Source organism: Homo sapiens, chromosome X, assembly GCF_000001405.40.
Source record: "Homo sapiens chromosome X, GRCh38.p14 Primary Assembly".
Taxonomy (NCBI): domain Eukaryota; kingdom Metazoa; phylum Chordata; class Mammalia; order Primates; family Hominidae; genus Homo; species Homo sapiens.
In genome coordinates this window covers 70,366,391-70,383,135 of record NC_000023.11, presented here as the reverse complement: position 1 = coordinate 70,383,135, position 16,745 = coordinate 70,366,391, and the positions used below count along the sequence as shown (strand labels likewise).

The 16,745-nt window shown below is 42.1% G+C and overlaps 1 protein-coding gene across 1 annotated transcript in view; it reads right to left on the bottom strand.

Annotated features, from left to right (window-relative positions):
* The window catches only part of KIF4A (kinesin family member 4A), a 130,783-nt gene that overhangs the window by 37,751 nt on the left and 76,287 nt on the right, over positions 1-16,745 (bottom strand). Inside the window, exons 16-18 of the mRNA NM_012310.5 lie at positions 8,882-8,985; positions 7,788-7,932; positions 6,926-7,036 (exon numbers count right to left, since the gene is read on the bottom strand). Of these exons, the coding sequence (NP_036442.3) occupies positions 6,926-7,036; positions 7,788-7,932; positions 8,882-8,985 (360 nt within the window). The remainder of the gene's footprint in view (positions 1-6,925; positions 7,037-7,787; positions 7,933-8,881; positions 8,986-16,745) is intronic.

The following is a 16,745-nucleotide window of genomic DNA, read 5'->3' as shown; positions in this document are numbered from 1 at the left end:
GGCTCACCACAACCTCCACCTCCCGGATTCAAGCGATTCTTCTACCTCAGCCTCCCCAGTAGCTGGTATTACAGGCATGTGCCACCACACCCGGCCACTTTTTTTGCATTTTTAGTGGAGACGGGGTTTCTCCGTGTTGGTCAGGCTGGTCTCGAACTCCCGACCTCAGGTGATCCGCCCGCCTTGGCCTCCCAAAGTGCTGGGATTACAGGTGTGAGCCACCGTGCCCAGACAGTAAGAGTTCTTTATCTATCTTGGATATAAGACTCTTATCAGCTATATGATTTGCAAATATTTTCCTCCCAATCTATGGACTGGCTATTAACTTTCTTTTTTTTTTTTTTTGTTAGAGATGGGGTCTTGCTATGTTGCCCAGGGTGGGGTCAATTTCCTGGGCTCAAGCAATCCTCCCACCTTGGCCTCCCAAAGTGTTGAGATTACAGGCATGAGCCACCATGCCTGATCATATTCACTTTCTTGATGGTATTGTTTACAATGCAAAAGCTTTTAATTTTGTCTAATTTAACTCTTTTTTGGTTAGCTGTTTGTACTTTAGGTGTCACATCTAAGAAATCATTGTCTAATCCAAAGTCACAAAGATTAACACCTATGTTTTCTTCTAAGAGATTTATAGTTTTAGCTCGTACGTTTAGGTTTTTGATCTGCTTTAATTTTTGTATATGGTATGAGAGCAAGTTTCTTTTTGAGACAGAGTCTCACTCTGTTGCCCAGGCTGGAGTGCAGGGGCGTGATCTCAGCTCACTGCAACCTCTGCCTCCCAGGTTCAAGTGATTCTCCTGCCTCAGCTTCCAGAGTAGCTGGGATTACAGGCATGTACGACCATGCCCAGCTAATTTTTTTGTAATTTTAGTAGAGACGGGGTTTCACCATGTTGGCCAGGTGGTCTTGAACTCCTGACCTCAAGTGATCCACCCGCCTCGGCATCCCACAGTGCTGGGACTACAGGCGTGAGCCACTGTGCCTGGCCACAAGTTTCAACTTCATTATTTTGCATATGACTACCCGGTTGTTCTAGGACTATTTGTTGAAAAGACAAAATTGTTTTCCTCATTGAATTGTCTTGGCATTACTGTTGAAAATCAACTGGCCATAAGTGTGTAAGTTTATTTCTGGATTCTCAATCTTATTCCATTGACCTATATGTCTATCTTTACACAGTACCACACAGTCTTGATTAGTGTAGCTTTGTAGAAAGTTTTTAAATCAGTAAATGTGACATTTACAAATTTGTTCTTCTCCTTGATTGCTTTGAATATTCTAGGTCCCTTGCATTTCCATATATATTTTAGAATCAGTTTGTGAGTTTCTGTGAAGAAACCAGATGGAATTTCACTGGGATTGTGTTGCATCTGTAAGGCAATCTGAAGGGTATTCCATCTTTAGAATATCAAGTCTTCCTGCCCATGAACATGGGATATCCTTCCATTTATTTAAGTCTTCCTTAATTAAATTCAATGATGTTCAGTAGTTTTCAAGTATACAAGTCTTACACTTCTTTTGCTAAATTTATTCCTAAGTATTTTATTTGTATTGATCCTATTATTAATGGAATTGTTTTCTTTCTTTTTTTCTCTTGAGACAGAGTCTTGCACTGTTGCCTGGGCTGGAGTGGTGCAGTGGCATGATCTTGACTCACTGCAACCTCCACCTCCCGGGTTCAAGTGATTCTCCTGCCTCAGCCTCCTAAGTAGCTGCGATTACAGGTGCCTGTCACCACACCCAGCTAATTTTTTGTATTTTTAGTAGAGACGGAGTTTCACTATGTTGGCCAGGCTGGTCTCGAGCTCCTTACCTTGTGATCTGCCCACCTCAGCCTCCCAAAGTGCTGGGATTACAGGCGTGAGCCACCACACCCAGCCGTGGGATTGTTTTATTAATCTCATTGTCAAATTGTTAATTGCTAGTATATAAATATACTACTGATTTTCTTTTCTTTTCCTTTTGTTTTTTTTGTTTGTTTGTTTTTGAGACAGAGTCTTGCTCTGTAGCCCAGGCTGAAGTGCAGTGGCCTGATCTCAGCTCACTGAAACCTCTGCCTCCTGGGTTCAAATGATTCTCGTGCCTCAGCCTCTCAAGTAGTTGGGACTACAGGCATGTGCTACCATGCCTGGCTAATGTTTGTATTTTTAGTAGAGACGGGGTTTCACCGTGTTGGCCAGGCTGGTCTCGAACTCCTGGCCTCAAGTGATATGCCTGCCTTGGCCTCCCAAAGTGCTAGGATTACAGGCTTGAGCCACTGTGCCAGATCACAACTTATTTTCTTATATTGATCTTATATTCTGCAACCTTGGTGAACTCATATATTAATTCTAATAGACTTTTAGTGGATTCTCTAGGATTTTCTATATACAAGATCATGTCATCTATAAACAGAGATAGTCTTGCTTCACCTTTTCCAGTTTAGATGCCATTTATATATTTTTCTTCCCTAAACTTCCTGGTTAGAACCTCCAGGACAATGTTGAATAGATATGGCAAGAGTGGACATCCTTGTCTTGTTCTTGATCTTAGGGGAAAAGTATGCTCTTTTTCACCATTAAGTATGATGTTAGCTGTGGGTTTTTCATACACGCCCTTTATTACGCTGAGGAAGTTCTCTTCTATTCCTAGTTTCTTGAGTGTTTTTATCATGAGTGTTAGATTTTTGTCAAATGCTTTTTCTGTGTCTATTGAGATGATCATGTGGTTCTTGTCCTTTTTCCTACTGATACAGTATATAACATAAATTGATTTCCATATATTAAACAAACTTTGCATTTTTCAGATGGACTTCACTTGGTCATAAGTGTATCATCCTTTTTTTTTTTGAGACAGTGTCTCACTCTGTTGCCCAGGCTGGAGTGCAGTGGCACGGTCTTGGCTCACTGCAGCCTCTTCCTCTTGGGTTCAAGCAATTCTCGTGCCTCAGCCTCCCAAGTAGCTGGGATTACAGGCACATGCCACCATGCTCAGCTAATTTTTTTTTGTATTTTCAGTAGAGACAGGGTTTCGCCATGTTGGCCAGGCTGGTCTCAAAACTTCTGACCTCAAGTGATCTGCCCATCTCGGCTTTCCAAAGTGCTGAGATTACAGGTGTGAGTCACCACGCCCAGCCTATCATCCTTTTTAAATGTTGATGGATTTAGTTTGCTAGAATTTTGTTGAGGATTTTCATGCCTATATTAAGATATATTGGTCTGTAGTATTCTTTTCTTGTGATGTCTTTGGTTTTGGTATCAGGGAACACAAACCTCATGGAATGAGTTGGGAAGTGTTTCCACTGCTTCTAGTTTTCAGAAGAGTTTCTGAGAAATGGGTATTTCTGTCTTTTTTTTTTTTTTTTCTGAGACAGAATCTCACTCTATCGCCCAGGCTGGAGTGCAGCGGTGTGATCTTGGCTCACTGCAACCTTCGCCACCTGGGTTCAAGCAATTCTTGTGTCTCAGCCTCCCAAGTAGCTGGGATTACAAGTGTGTGTCACCACACCCAAATAATTTTTGTACTTTTAGTAGAGACAGGGTTTCACCATGTTGGCCAGGCTGGTCTCGAATTCCTGACCTCAGGTGATCTGCCTGCCTCGGCCTCCAAAAGTGCTGGGATTACAGGCATGAGCCACAGCACCTGGCCAAGAAATGGGTATTTTTTCTTAAAATGTTTGATAGAACTCACCAGTGAAGCCATCTGTGCCTGGAATTTTCTTTGTGGGAAGTTTTTAAACTACTAATTTAACTTCTTGTCATGGGTCTATACAGATTTTCTATTTCTTCTTGAGTCAGTTTTGGTAGTTTTTGTCTTTCCAGGCATTTGTCTACTTAATCTAGGCTATCTAATTTGTTGGCATACAGTTGTTAATAGTAATTCCTTATAATCCTTTCCTTCCGGCAAGACTAGTAGTGATATTCCCTCTTTCATTCCTAACTTTAGTAATTTAAATTTTCTTTCTTTTTTTTCTTTTTTCTTTTCTTTTTTTTTTGAGATGGAGTCTCGCTCTGTTGCCCAGGCTGGAGTGCAGTGGTGCGATCTCTGCTCACTGCAAGCTCCGCCTTCCGGGTTCACACCATTCTCCTCCCTCAAACTCCTGAGTAGCTGGGACTACAGGCACCCACCACTACACCTGGCTAATTTTTTTTTGTTTGTATTTTTAGTAGAGATGGGGTTTCACCGTGTTAGCCAGGATGGTCTCGATCTCCTGACCTTGTGATCTGCCTGCCTCAGCCTCCCAAAGTGCTGGGATTACTACAGGTGTGAGCCACCGCGCCTGGCCTCTTTTTTTTTCTTATTAAGGCTATCTGAAGGTTTGTCAGTATTTGTTGATCATTTCAAAAAACCAACTTTTGGTTTCAATGATTTTCCCCGTTTTTTTCTATTTCATATTTCATTAATTTCTACTTTAATCCTTTTTTTTTTTTGAGACAGTTTCGCTTTTGTTGCCCAGGCTGGAGTGCAATGGTGCGATCTCGGCTCACTGCAACCTCCACCTCCCGGGTTCAAGCGATTCTCCTGCCTCAGCCTCCCAAGTAGCTGGGACTACAGGCATGCACCACCATGCCCAGCTAATTTTGTATTTTTGGTAGAGAGAGGGTTTCTCCATGTTACTCAGGCTGGTCTCGAACTCCCGACCTCAGGTGATCTGCTCACCTTGGCCTCCCAAAATGCTGGGATTTCAGGCTTGAGCCACCGCGCCCAGCCTATTTCTACTCTAATCTTTTAATGTTTCCTTTCATCTACTAGCTTTGGGTTTAGTTTGCTCTCTTTTTTTCAGTGTTTTAAAGTAGAAGGCTAGGTTATTGGTTTAAGATCTTTCTTCAATTAAAAAAAACTGAGATGCAGTCTCACAATTTTGCCCAGGCTGGTCTTGAACTCCTGGGGTCAAGTGATCCTTCCACCTCAGCCTCCCAAGTAGCTGGGGCTACAGGAGCCTTTCTGCATTTTTTAATATAGGCATTTACAACTATAAAATTCCCTCCAAACACTGTTTTAGCTGTATCTCATAAGTTTTGGTATGTTGTATCTTTGTTTTTATTAATCTCAAAGTATTTTTTAATTTCCCTATGACTTCCTTTTAGACCCATTATTTATTTAGGATTATGTTAATTTCTTCATATTTGTGAATTTCCTAAATTTATTTTTGTTACTGATTTTTAATTTCATTCCATTGTGGTTAGAGAACAGATTTTGTATTATTTTCAATACTTTTTCTTTGAGACGGAGTCTTGCTCTGTTGCACAGGCTGGAGTGCAGTGGCACGATCTCAGCTCACTGCAACCTCCATCTCCCAAGTTCAAGCAATTCTCCTGCCTCAGCCTCCTGAATACTGGAGATCACAGATGTGCCACCATGCCCGGCTAATTTTTGTATTTTTAATAGACACGGTGTTTCATCATGTTGGCCAGACTGGTCTTGAACTCCTGACATCAGGTGATCTGCCCACCTTGGCCTCCCAAAGTGTTGGGATTACAGGAGTGAGCCACCATGCATGGCCTGTTTCAATACTTTTAAATTTATTGAGGCATAAAAGGTCTAGCATATGGTCTATCCTGGAGAATGTTTCATGTGCACCTAGGAAGACTGTATATCCTGCTGTTGTTGGTTGGCGTAGTCTATAGATTCTGTTAGGTATAGTGTGTAATCTAGCATATTACATAAACTTATAGACCAATATCTCTTATGAATGTAGATATGAAAATGCTAGGTATTATATTGTTGAAGTCTTCAATATCCTTGCTGATCTTGTGCCTATTGTTCTATCCATTATTAAAGTAGGGGCTGGGTTCAGTGGCTCATGCCTGTAATACCAGCACTTTAGCAGGCCGAGGTGAGAGGACTGCTTGAGCCCAGGAGTTCGAGACCAGTCTGGGCAACATAGTGAGATTCCATCTCTACAAAAAATAAAAAATTTGCCAGGTGTGATGGTGTACAGCTGTAGTTCTAGCTACTCAGGAGGCTGAGGTGGGAGGATTGCTTGAGACCAGCAGTTTGAGGCTACAGTGAGCTATGATTGCACCACTGTACTCCAGCCTGGGCAACAGAACAAGACCCCATATCTAAAAAAGAAAGAAAATAAAGAGGTGGATTGAAGTCTCCAAATATTTATTACTGTTGATTTGTCTATTTCTCTCTCCATTTCTGTCAGTGTTTGCTTCATATATTCTGGGGGCTCTGTTGTCAGATGTATATTCAGGCCCTTATAATTCTTCTGGATTATACAATATCTTCTTGTGTTCTGGCCTCTGTTTCTCAATATTACAGTTTGCTCTATACATTATTCCCAGATATATCTTTCTAAAGCAGTATTTTGTTGATATCACTTTCTAAAAACCCTTAAAAATCTTTATGCTACTAACAAAATGAGTTCAAACTTCTTGGATCTTTAATAATCCAGCTTCGACTTGCCTTTCCAATGGAATGGTCCACTACTATACTTCACCCCAGTTGGACCACTTGCCATTCCTTGAATGTGTCTACAAAGTTGTCATCTCTATTTCTTTGATCTATCTATCTGGAATGCTTGTACTTATCTCTATCATAACCCTTCCTATTATTCAGGGCCTATTCAACCATCATCTTTTCACTCCAACTGCAAATTTGCTTTCTTTTCTCTTAGTTACTTTTTATTTTATTCTTATAGCCCAAATCTCTTTCTTCCTTGTATTTGAGAAATCCATGCTTATATCTTACCATCTCCTTTAGGTAAGACATTCTTCAAGGGCAGAGCTTATATACTACTAATTTTTCTATTTCTAATAGTGCCTAGTAGATAGTACCTTGCACATAATAGACATAGTAGACATTTAATAAAGTTGTTAAATTCATGAGAATGTCACACTTTTGGAGACACGAGGTGTTTGAAGAGAAGCATTAAAATTGTTAGTCAGCTCAGAGAAGGGTTTATTACCTAGGCCTTCAAGAAGTTTTAGTTACTTACTCGTTCTTTTAACTGTATTACTTCTTTGTCTTTTTTCTGCTTCCACTGTCTAAACTTCTCAGCATCTTCTTTCATTTGACGCATTAACTGTACCCGCTGGTTTTTCATCATCTATAAAAACAAAAACCAGCAAAAGTATTAGTCATCTGCAGTTTATTCTAGGCTGGTGCGGATGGATAGACTTACCATTAAGAAGAGAGAAAAGCCAGAACTAGGCTGGGAAAGCAGTCCCCAACAGATTCCCTGATTAGGCTTACAATACCCCTTGCTATGCTTGCACAGGGTTTCCAAGTACAGGCTATACAAGTGAACACTGAGAAGAAATTAAATAAAAATGTACCTACAAGCTAAATCCAGCCCTAAATTCACTGTATACAAATGAAATTTCAAGGAAACATCTACTAAGCCTCCAGGACAAATCCACCTAGTAACCATTGTATTCTAAAGGTTTCAGTACAAGTAGCCTGTAACCACCACTTTGTTGGTGCCACAAGTTGAACATTCAATAACTGAGAATTTTCTCTAGGTGTCTGTCATCTTATTACTACTTTACAAAATTATGCTGCATGATCATGGAAGGTGATCAGGATATAACCCACTAAGTATGGAGATGTCTTTGTTCTTTGGTTTCAGAGACTCTAACATTAAATTTTGAATGTCAAAGCAACGTTTTATTAAGCAGATCCTAGATGACCACTAGCACAATGTTCTGCAAAAGGGACATTTGTGGAGATTCACACACTTGAAATGATTGCTCTGCCTGCTATTTTCTCACCTGAAAACACCTCTAGTATATTTCTAAATGGAATACCTATGTTTGTAAATTCCAATGGGGGTAAATGCAAGGATGAGAATTTATTACCCGTATCTCCTGGTTCAGTTTGGAGACAGTACGCTCTGTGGATTCCTTTAGTTTCAGAAGTTTGGACTGCTCATTCAGTTTCTTCTTCAGATCAGCAATTTGACCCTCCAGCTCCTGGAGACGTTTGCGGCGGCGCTCACTCAACCTAAACACAGATGCTGTAGAAGTGAGGACTACCAGCAGCAAAGCCTGACTTCAAAAGACATAATACTAGACTCCCAGAGTTACAACACTGACATATATAAAATAGGTGACTAGTCACATAGCCATCTTAAAAAAAGAATACCACCCAAACAACCAAACCTGTCTCAATAATAGGAGCTTAATACAAAGAGTAAGACAACTTTTAGTACACAGCAATGCAACTGCCTCAATATACGCCGCCCCTTTTGCATCAAAATGGTTCTTTGAAGGCATTTCACTTCACTTTAGCTATGAAGAATAATTCTGATGATTATTATACAAGTCTGAGATAGAAAGTAAACATTCAGCATAACTTTTACAAACATGAGCTTTAGACTCAACTGAGAGATAAAACGGAGTCACTGAGTAAAAAGAAGGTAGGATAGCCCATACGGCAGAGGTCTGAAGGAGAGTAGGATGTTATGGTTATCTGCTTTGGTTTTATTCTTAACTGGTAAGAGATGGCTAGATTGATTTTTTAAATCACTAGCCTGGACATTAATTCCATTCACAAGCTAATTTACCATTAGTGCAGGGACAAAGAAACTGCTGTTATCTAGTAAGTGTGATAATCTTTCAAAAGCCAGCTCAAATGCTAACTTTTTACAAAGCCTTCCTTGATCATGGTAGCCTGAATTGATATTCCTCGCCTCTGAACTCTTAACACAATTACTGCCTAAGAAATTTATTTGGCTACTAATCATGTGCTGTGTTATGACATTCTTTTACTGTCAACTTGAGACGCTATTTAAAATTGCAATTATTTAACCATTTTTTGTGTTTAGGTTTCCTCTTCATAATTAGGTTTAAATCTTTAGGGGCAGTAAATGGGACTTCTACTTCTCTATTTCTTGCAAAGCTCCTCACACATAGTAGGGACTTGAAATAACATTTATTAACTTTATTCTTACTTGGCTTGGTTGGCATCCTTCTTTGCTGTCTGAAGTTCAAGAACCAATTCTTCCTTTTCCTTTTGCAGATTGATGACTTCTAATTCTAGCTCTTTTATGTTATCCTAGAAAGGTTATAGGTCAAAGAGAAAGAAGACATTATATGGCACAGGAAGAAAAATCACTTCAGCATTCCATGTCTCAAGGAACTATGCATTAATTTTTACCACTTCAACTGCACGCTGAAAACATTTACTCTTGATTTGATGGAGATTAAAATTATGTAGTAGGAAATGTTTGGAATCTGAGGGTCTGGGTTTTAATCTTGACTGCCACGCTTACTATATAAGTATCTTTAAGGAAAGTCACTTCATCTTTTAGTTTTGGTTTCTGTTCAGAAAAGAGTTTGTGTGTGTGTGTGTGTGTGTATGTGTGTGTGTGTGTGTGTACATGTGTGTGTATATATATATACGTATATGTGTATATATGTATATATATGTGTATATATACGTATATATATATATACACGTATATATGTATATATATACGTATATATATACACGTATATGTGTATATATATACGTATATATATACACGTATATATGTATATATATACGTATATATATACACGTATATATGTATATATATACGTATATATATACACGTATATATGTATATATATACGTATATATATACACGTATATATGTATATATATACGTATATATATATATATATATATATATATATATACATACACACACATGTATATATATATGTTGCCCAGGTTGGTCTTGAACTCCTGGGCTCAAGTGATCCTCCTGCCTCTGCCTCCCAAAGTGCTAGGATTACAGGTGTGTGCCACCACATCTGGCTCTTCATTTGCTTATTTTCTTTCTTTTTTTCTTTTCTTTTCCCTCCCTCCCTCCTTCCCTTCTTCCTTCTTCCTTTCCTTTCCCTCCCTCCCCGTTCTCCCCCTCCTTCTCTGTCTGTCTCTTTCTTTCTTTTGAGACAGAGTCTCACTCTTACCTAGGCTGGAGTACAGAGGCATGATCATGGTTCACTGCAGCCTTTATCTCCCGGGCTCAAGTGATCCTCCCACCTTAGCCTCCTGAGTAGCAAGGACTACAGGAGTCTGCCACCAACTTGGCTAATTTTTGTATTTTTTTGTAGTGATGGGGTTTCGCCATGTTGCCCAGGCTGGTCTTAAACTCCTGGGCTCAAGCGATCCTCCCACCTTGGCCTCCTTAAAGTGCTAGGATTATAGGCGTGAGCCATGGCACCCAGCCCCATAAATCTTAACTGTGAGTATGACTATATGCTGAGTCCTGTGAGTCCTCCTAGTGAATCATTTGATCTAGGGGAGCTCTTGGGGACTCCCAAAGGTTTCCCTATCTATGTCAATAATTAATAATAACACCTACCTCACAGGGTTGTTGGGAAGATCAAATAAGATAAAAAGGTAGACATTTTGTAAACTGTAAAGAGCTGCACAAATATTCTTATATTCAGAACTTTCAAACTTATCTACTCAATAACAACTGCAGTTCTGCATGCATTTGGAAAACGAAGTCTAGCCCTTTCCCTCTCCCTCTCCCTCTCCCTCTGTCTCCCTCTCCCCACGGTCTCCCTCTCCCTCTCTTTCCACGGTCTCCCTCTGATGCCGAGCCGAAGCTGGACTGTACTGCTGCCATCTTGGCTCACTGCAACCTCCCTGCCTGATTCTCCTGCCTCAGCCTGCCTAGTGCCTGCGATTGCAGGCGCGCGCCACCACGCCTGACTGGTTTTCGTATTTTTTTGGTGGAGACGGGGTTTCGCTGTGTTGGCTGGGCTGGCCTCCAGCTCCTAACCGTGAGTGATCCGCCAGCCTCGGCCTCCCGAGGTGCCGGGATTGCAGACGGAGTCTGGTTCACTCAGTGCTCAATGGTGCCCAGGCTGGAGTGCAGTGGCGTGATCTCGGCTCGCTACAACCTCCACCTCCCAGCCGCCTGCCTTGGCCTCCCAAAGTGCCGAGATTGCAGCCTCTGCCCGGCCGCCACCCCGTCTGGGAAGTGAGGAGCGTCTCTGCCTGGCCGCCCATCGTCTGGGACGTGAGGAGCCCCTCTGCCTGGCTGCCCAGTCTGGAAAGTGAGGAGCGTCTCTGCCGGCCGCCATCCCATCTAGGAAGTGAGGAGCGCCTCTTCCCGGCCGCCATCCCATCTAGGAAGTGAGGAGCGTCTCTGCCTGGCCGCCCATCGTCTGAGATGTGGGGAGCGCCTCTGCCCTGCCGCCCCATCTGGGATGTGAGGAGCGCCTCTACCCGGCCGTGACCCCGTCTGGGAGGTGAGGAGCGTCTCTGCCCGGCCACCCCGTCTGAGAAGTGAGGAGACCCTCCGCCTGGCAACCGCCCCGTCTGAGAAGTGAGGAGCCCCTCCACCCGGCAGCCGCCCCATCTGAGAAGTGAGGAGCCCCTCCGCCCGGCAGCCGCCCCATCTGAGAAGTGAGGAGCCCCTCCACCTGGCAGCCACCCCGTCTGGGAAGTGAGGAGCGTCTCCGCCCAGCAGCCGCCCCGTCCGGGAGGGAGGTGGGGGGGTCAGGCCCCGCCCGGCCAGCCGTCCCGTCCGGGAGGGAGGTAGGGGGGTCAGCCCCCCACCTGGCCAGCCGCCCCATCCGGGAGGGAGGTGGGGGGGTCAGCCCCCCGCCCGGCCAGCTGCCCCGTCCGGGAGGTAAGGGGCGCCTCTGCCCGGCCGCCCCTACTGGGAAGTGAGGAGCCCTTCTGCCCGGCCACCACCCCGTCTGGGAGGTATACCCAACAGCTCACTGAGAACGGGCCATGATGACAATGGCGGTTTTGTGGAATAGAGCGGGGGGAAAGGTGGGGAAAAGATTGAGAAATCGGATGGTTGCCGTGTCTGTGTAGAAAGAGGTAGACATGGGAGACTTTTCATTTTGTTCTGTACTAAGAAAAATTCTTATCCTGTTGATCTGTGACCTTACCCCCAACCCTGTGCTCTCTGAAACATGTGCTGTGTCCACTCAGGGTTAAATGGAAAAAAAAAAAAAGAAAACGAAGTCTAGAAACTGAAGTTTGACAGTGGAAAACCCAAATTCCATCCTATTCTCATAACCAAAAAAGATTGGCGAAAACTGACTGGATGAGTAGTTGGCAGCCAAGAAGATTATATGCACGCCCTAGACCAGTATTAGACTGACACGAATAAGCAGAGGCAGATTAGGTGGGGCTATATCAGAGAAGCTTTCTAAATAGCCTAGAGCTGTTTTCCAAGCAATGTACTCAGTCACTTCAGTATAACCAATGAAAATCAATCTTTATAGTTACCTTGCTTTTTTTTTTTTTTTTTTGAGACAGAGTCTTGCTCTGTCACATAGGCTGGAGTGCAGTGGTGTGATCTCGGCTTACTGCAACCTCTGTCTCCCAGGTTCAAAAGATTCTTGTGCCCCAGTCTCCCAAGTAGCTGAGATTACAGGCACCTGCCACCACACTTGGCTAATTTTTGTATTTTTAGTAGAGACAGGGTTTCACCATGTTGGCCAGGCTGGTCTCGAACTCCTGAGCTTAAGTGATCCACCTCCCTTGGCCTCCCAAAGTATTGGGATTATAGGCATGAGCCACCACGCCCAAACTACCCTGCATATTTAAAACCACTAATAACATGGGTGTGTATGTATGTATGTGTATATTCATATATTCTTTATTTGATATATTCTACATTTATTCTATATTCTATACATACAGAATATATATGATATATTCTATATTACATATATTCTATATATAGTATATCATATATTCTATATTACATATATTCTATATTTATCTATACTTATAGAAAAATATATTCTATATTTTTACTTATAGAAGTAACATATAAATATATTTATATAAAAAAATAGATAATACTTGTAAAGGTCAAGTCTCCTTGACTGCCTCAACCCTGCCAAAATTCCAGTCCCCCTCCAGAAGTAAGCACTGTTATCAGCTTGATGCATACCTTCCATTTTTTGCAGACATTTACATAGTCAAATATTACATATCTAGACATTTACAGTCATATGTCACTTAATAACAGGAATACATTCTGAGAAACGCATTGTTAAGCAATTTCATCATTGTGTGAACATGATAGTGTGCACTTATACAAATCTATATAGTATAGCCTACTATACACCCAGGCTATATGGTATAGCCTATTGCTCCTAGGCTATAAAACTGTATATCATGTGACTGTACATCATATGACTGTACTGAATACTGTGGGCAATTATAACATAATGGTATTTTGTATCTAAACATAATGGTACAGTAAAAATACAGTATTACAATCTTATGGGACTATCATTGTATCCATGGTCTGTCACTGACTGAAATGTCATTATTTGGTGCATGATTATATATTAAACAAATGTATTATATATTACATATCACATAATATCCATTACTAGAATATATAATTGATGTAAGTATATAGTATATACACACACACACGTGTGTGTTTATACCAAATAAAATGTGTTAAACATAGAATTTTATATATATATATGTTATTCTGTAACTTGCCATTTTTAACTTAATTAGTCATGGAGATTTATTTATATCAGCATATACAGATCTGCCTCATTTTTTTTCCATAATGAAATATTCTGCTACATGATTTCTGTGCACATGTGCAAGGTTTTACTAGGGTAGAAAGAAGTGGGAATTACAGAGTCATGAGGATATACATTTTCTTTTTTTATAGATACTGCCAAATTGTCATCCAAAGGGGCTATTCCACTCTTACCAGCTATGTATGAGAGTACTTTGCTTGCACCCTTGTCAACATTTGATATTGCTACACCTAAAAACTGTTACCAATCTGATAGATGAAAAATAGTTTCTAGGGGGTGGAGCCAAGATGGCTGAATAGGAACAGCTCCAGTCTACAGCTCCCAGCGTGAGCAATGCAGAAGACAAATGATTTCTGCATTTCCAACTGAGGTACCAGGTTCGTCTCACTGGGGATTGTCAGAGAGTGGGTGCAGGACAGTGTGTGCAGCGCACCAAGCGTGAGCCGAAGCAGGGCGAGGCATCGCCTCACCCAGGAAGCGGAAGGGGTCACAGAATTCCCCTTCCTAGCCAAGGAAAGGGGTGACAGACGGCACCTGGAAAATCGGGTCACTCCGACCCTAATACTGCGCTTTTCCAAAGGTCTTAGCAAATGGCACACCAGAAGATTGTATCCCACACCTGGCTCAGAGGGTCCTACACCCATGGAGCTTCGCTTATTGCTAGCACAGCAGTCTGAGATCAAACTGCAAGGCAGCAATGAGGCTGTGGGAGGGGCGCCCACCATTGCCTAGGCTTGAGTAGGTAAACAAAGAGGCTGGGAAGCTCGAACTGGGTGGAGCCCACCGCAGCTCAAGGACACCTGCCTGCCTCTGTAGACTCCACCTCTGGGGGCAGGGCATAGCCAAACAAAAGGCAGCAGAAACCCCTGCAGACTTAAATGTCCCTGTCTGACAACTTTGAAGAGACTAGTGGTTCTCCCAGCACACAGCTGAAGATCTGAGAACGAAAAGACTGCCTCCTCAAGTGGGTCCCTGACCCCTGAGTAGCCTAACTGGGAGGCACCCCCCAGGAGGGGCAGACTGACACCTCACACGGCCGGGTGCTCCTCTGAGACAAAATTTCCAGAGGAACGATCAGGCAGCGACATTTGGTGTCCACCAATATCCCCTGATCTGCAGCCTCCGCTGCTGATACCCAGGCAAACAGGGTCTGGAGTGGACCTCCAGCAAACTCCAACATACCTGCAGCTAAGGGTCTTGACTGTTACAAGGAAAACTAACAAACAGAAAAGACATCCACACCAAAACCCCATCTGTAGGTCACCATCATCAAAGACCAAAGGTAGATAAAAACCACAAAGGTGGGGAAAAAACAGAGCAGAAAAACTGAAAATTCTAACAATCAGAGCAGCTCTCCTCCTCCAAAGGAACGCAGCTCCTCACCAGCAATGGAGCAAAGCTGGACGGAGAATGACTTTGACAAGATGAGAGAAGGCTTCAGACGATCAAACTACTCCGAGCTAAAGGAGGAAGTTCGAACCCATGACAAAGAAGTTAAAAACCTTGAAAAAAGATTAGACAAATGGCTAACTAGAATAACCAATGCAGAGAAGTCCTTCAAGGACCTGATGGAGCTGAAAACCACAGCACGAGAACTACGTGACGAATGCACAAGCCTCAGTAGCCGACGTGATCAACTTGAAGAAAAGGTATGAGTGATGGAAGATCAAATGAATGAAATGAAGCGAGAAGATAAGTATAGAGAAAAAAGAATAAAAAGAAATGAACAAAGCCTCCAAGAAATATGGGACTATGTGAAAAGACCAAATCTATGTCTGATTGGTGTACCTGAAAGTGACGGGGAGAATGGAACCAAGTTGGAAAACACTCTGTAGGATATTATCCAGGAGAACTTCCCCAATCTAGCAAGGCAGGCCAGCATTCAGATTCAGGAAATACAGAGAACGCCACAAAGATACTCCTCGAGAAAAGCAACTCCAAGACAAATAATGGTCAGATTCACCAAAGTTGAAATGAAGGAAAAAATGTTAAGGGCAGCCAGAGAGAAAGGTCGGGTTACCCACAAAGGGAAGCCCATCAGACTAACAGCTGATCTCTTGGCAGAAATTCTACAAGCCAGAAGAGAGTGGGGGCCAATATTCAACATTCTTAAAGAAAAGAATTTTCAACCCAGAATTTCATATCCAGTCAAACTAAGCTTCATAAGTGAAGAAGAAATAAAATCCTTCGCAGACAAGCAAATGCTGAGAGATTTTGTCACCACCAGGCCTGCCCTAAAAGAGCTCCTGAAGGAAGCACTAAACATGGAAAGGAACAACTGGGACCAGCCACTGCAAAAACATACCAAATTGTAAAGACCATCGAGGCTAGGAAGAAACTGCATCAACTAACGAGCAAAATAACCAGCTAACATCATAATGACAGGATCAAATTCACACATAACAATATTAACCTTAAATGTTAACGGGCTAAATGCTCCAATTAAAAGACACAGACTGGCAAACTGGATAAAGAGTCAAGACCCATCAGTGTGCTGTACTCAGGAAACCCATCTCACGTGCAGAGACACACATAGGCTCAAAATAAAGGGATGGAGGAAGATCTACCAAGCAAATGGAAAACAAAAAAAGGCAAGGGTTGGAATCCTAGTCTTGGATAAAACAGACTTTAAACCAACAAAGATCAAAAGAGACAAGGAAGGCCATTAAATAATGGTAAAGGGATCAATTCAACAAGAAGAGCTAACTATCCTAAATATATATGCACCCAATACAGGAGCACCCAGATTCATAAAGTAAGTCCTTAGAGACCTACAAAGAGACTTAGACTCCCACACAATAATAATGGGAGACTTTAACACCTCACTGTCAACATTAGACAGATCAATGAGACAGAAAATTAACAAGGATATCCAGGAATTGAACTCAGCTCTGCACCAAGCGGACCTAATAGACATCTACAGAACTCTCCATCCCAAATCAACAGAATATACATTCTTTTCAGCACCACACCACACCTATTCCAAAACTGACCACATAGTTGGAAGTAAAGCACTCCTCAGCAAATGTAAAAGAACAGAAATTATAACAAACTGTCTCTCAGACCACAGTGCAATCAAATTAGAACTCAGGATTAAGAAACTCAAAACTGCTCAACTACATGGAAACTGAACAACCTGCTCCTGAATGACTGACTACTGGGTACATAACAAAATGAAGGCAGAAATAAAGATGTTCTTTGAAACCAATGAGAACAAAGACACAACATACCAGAATTTCTGGGACACATTCAAAGCAGTGTGTAGAGGGAAATTTATAG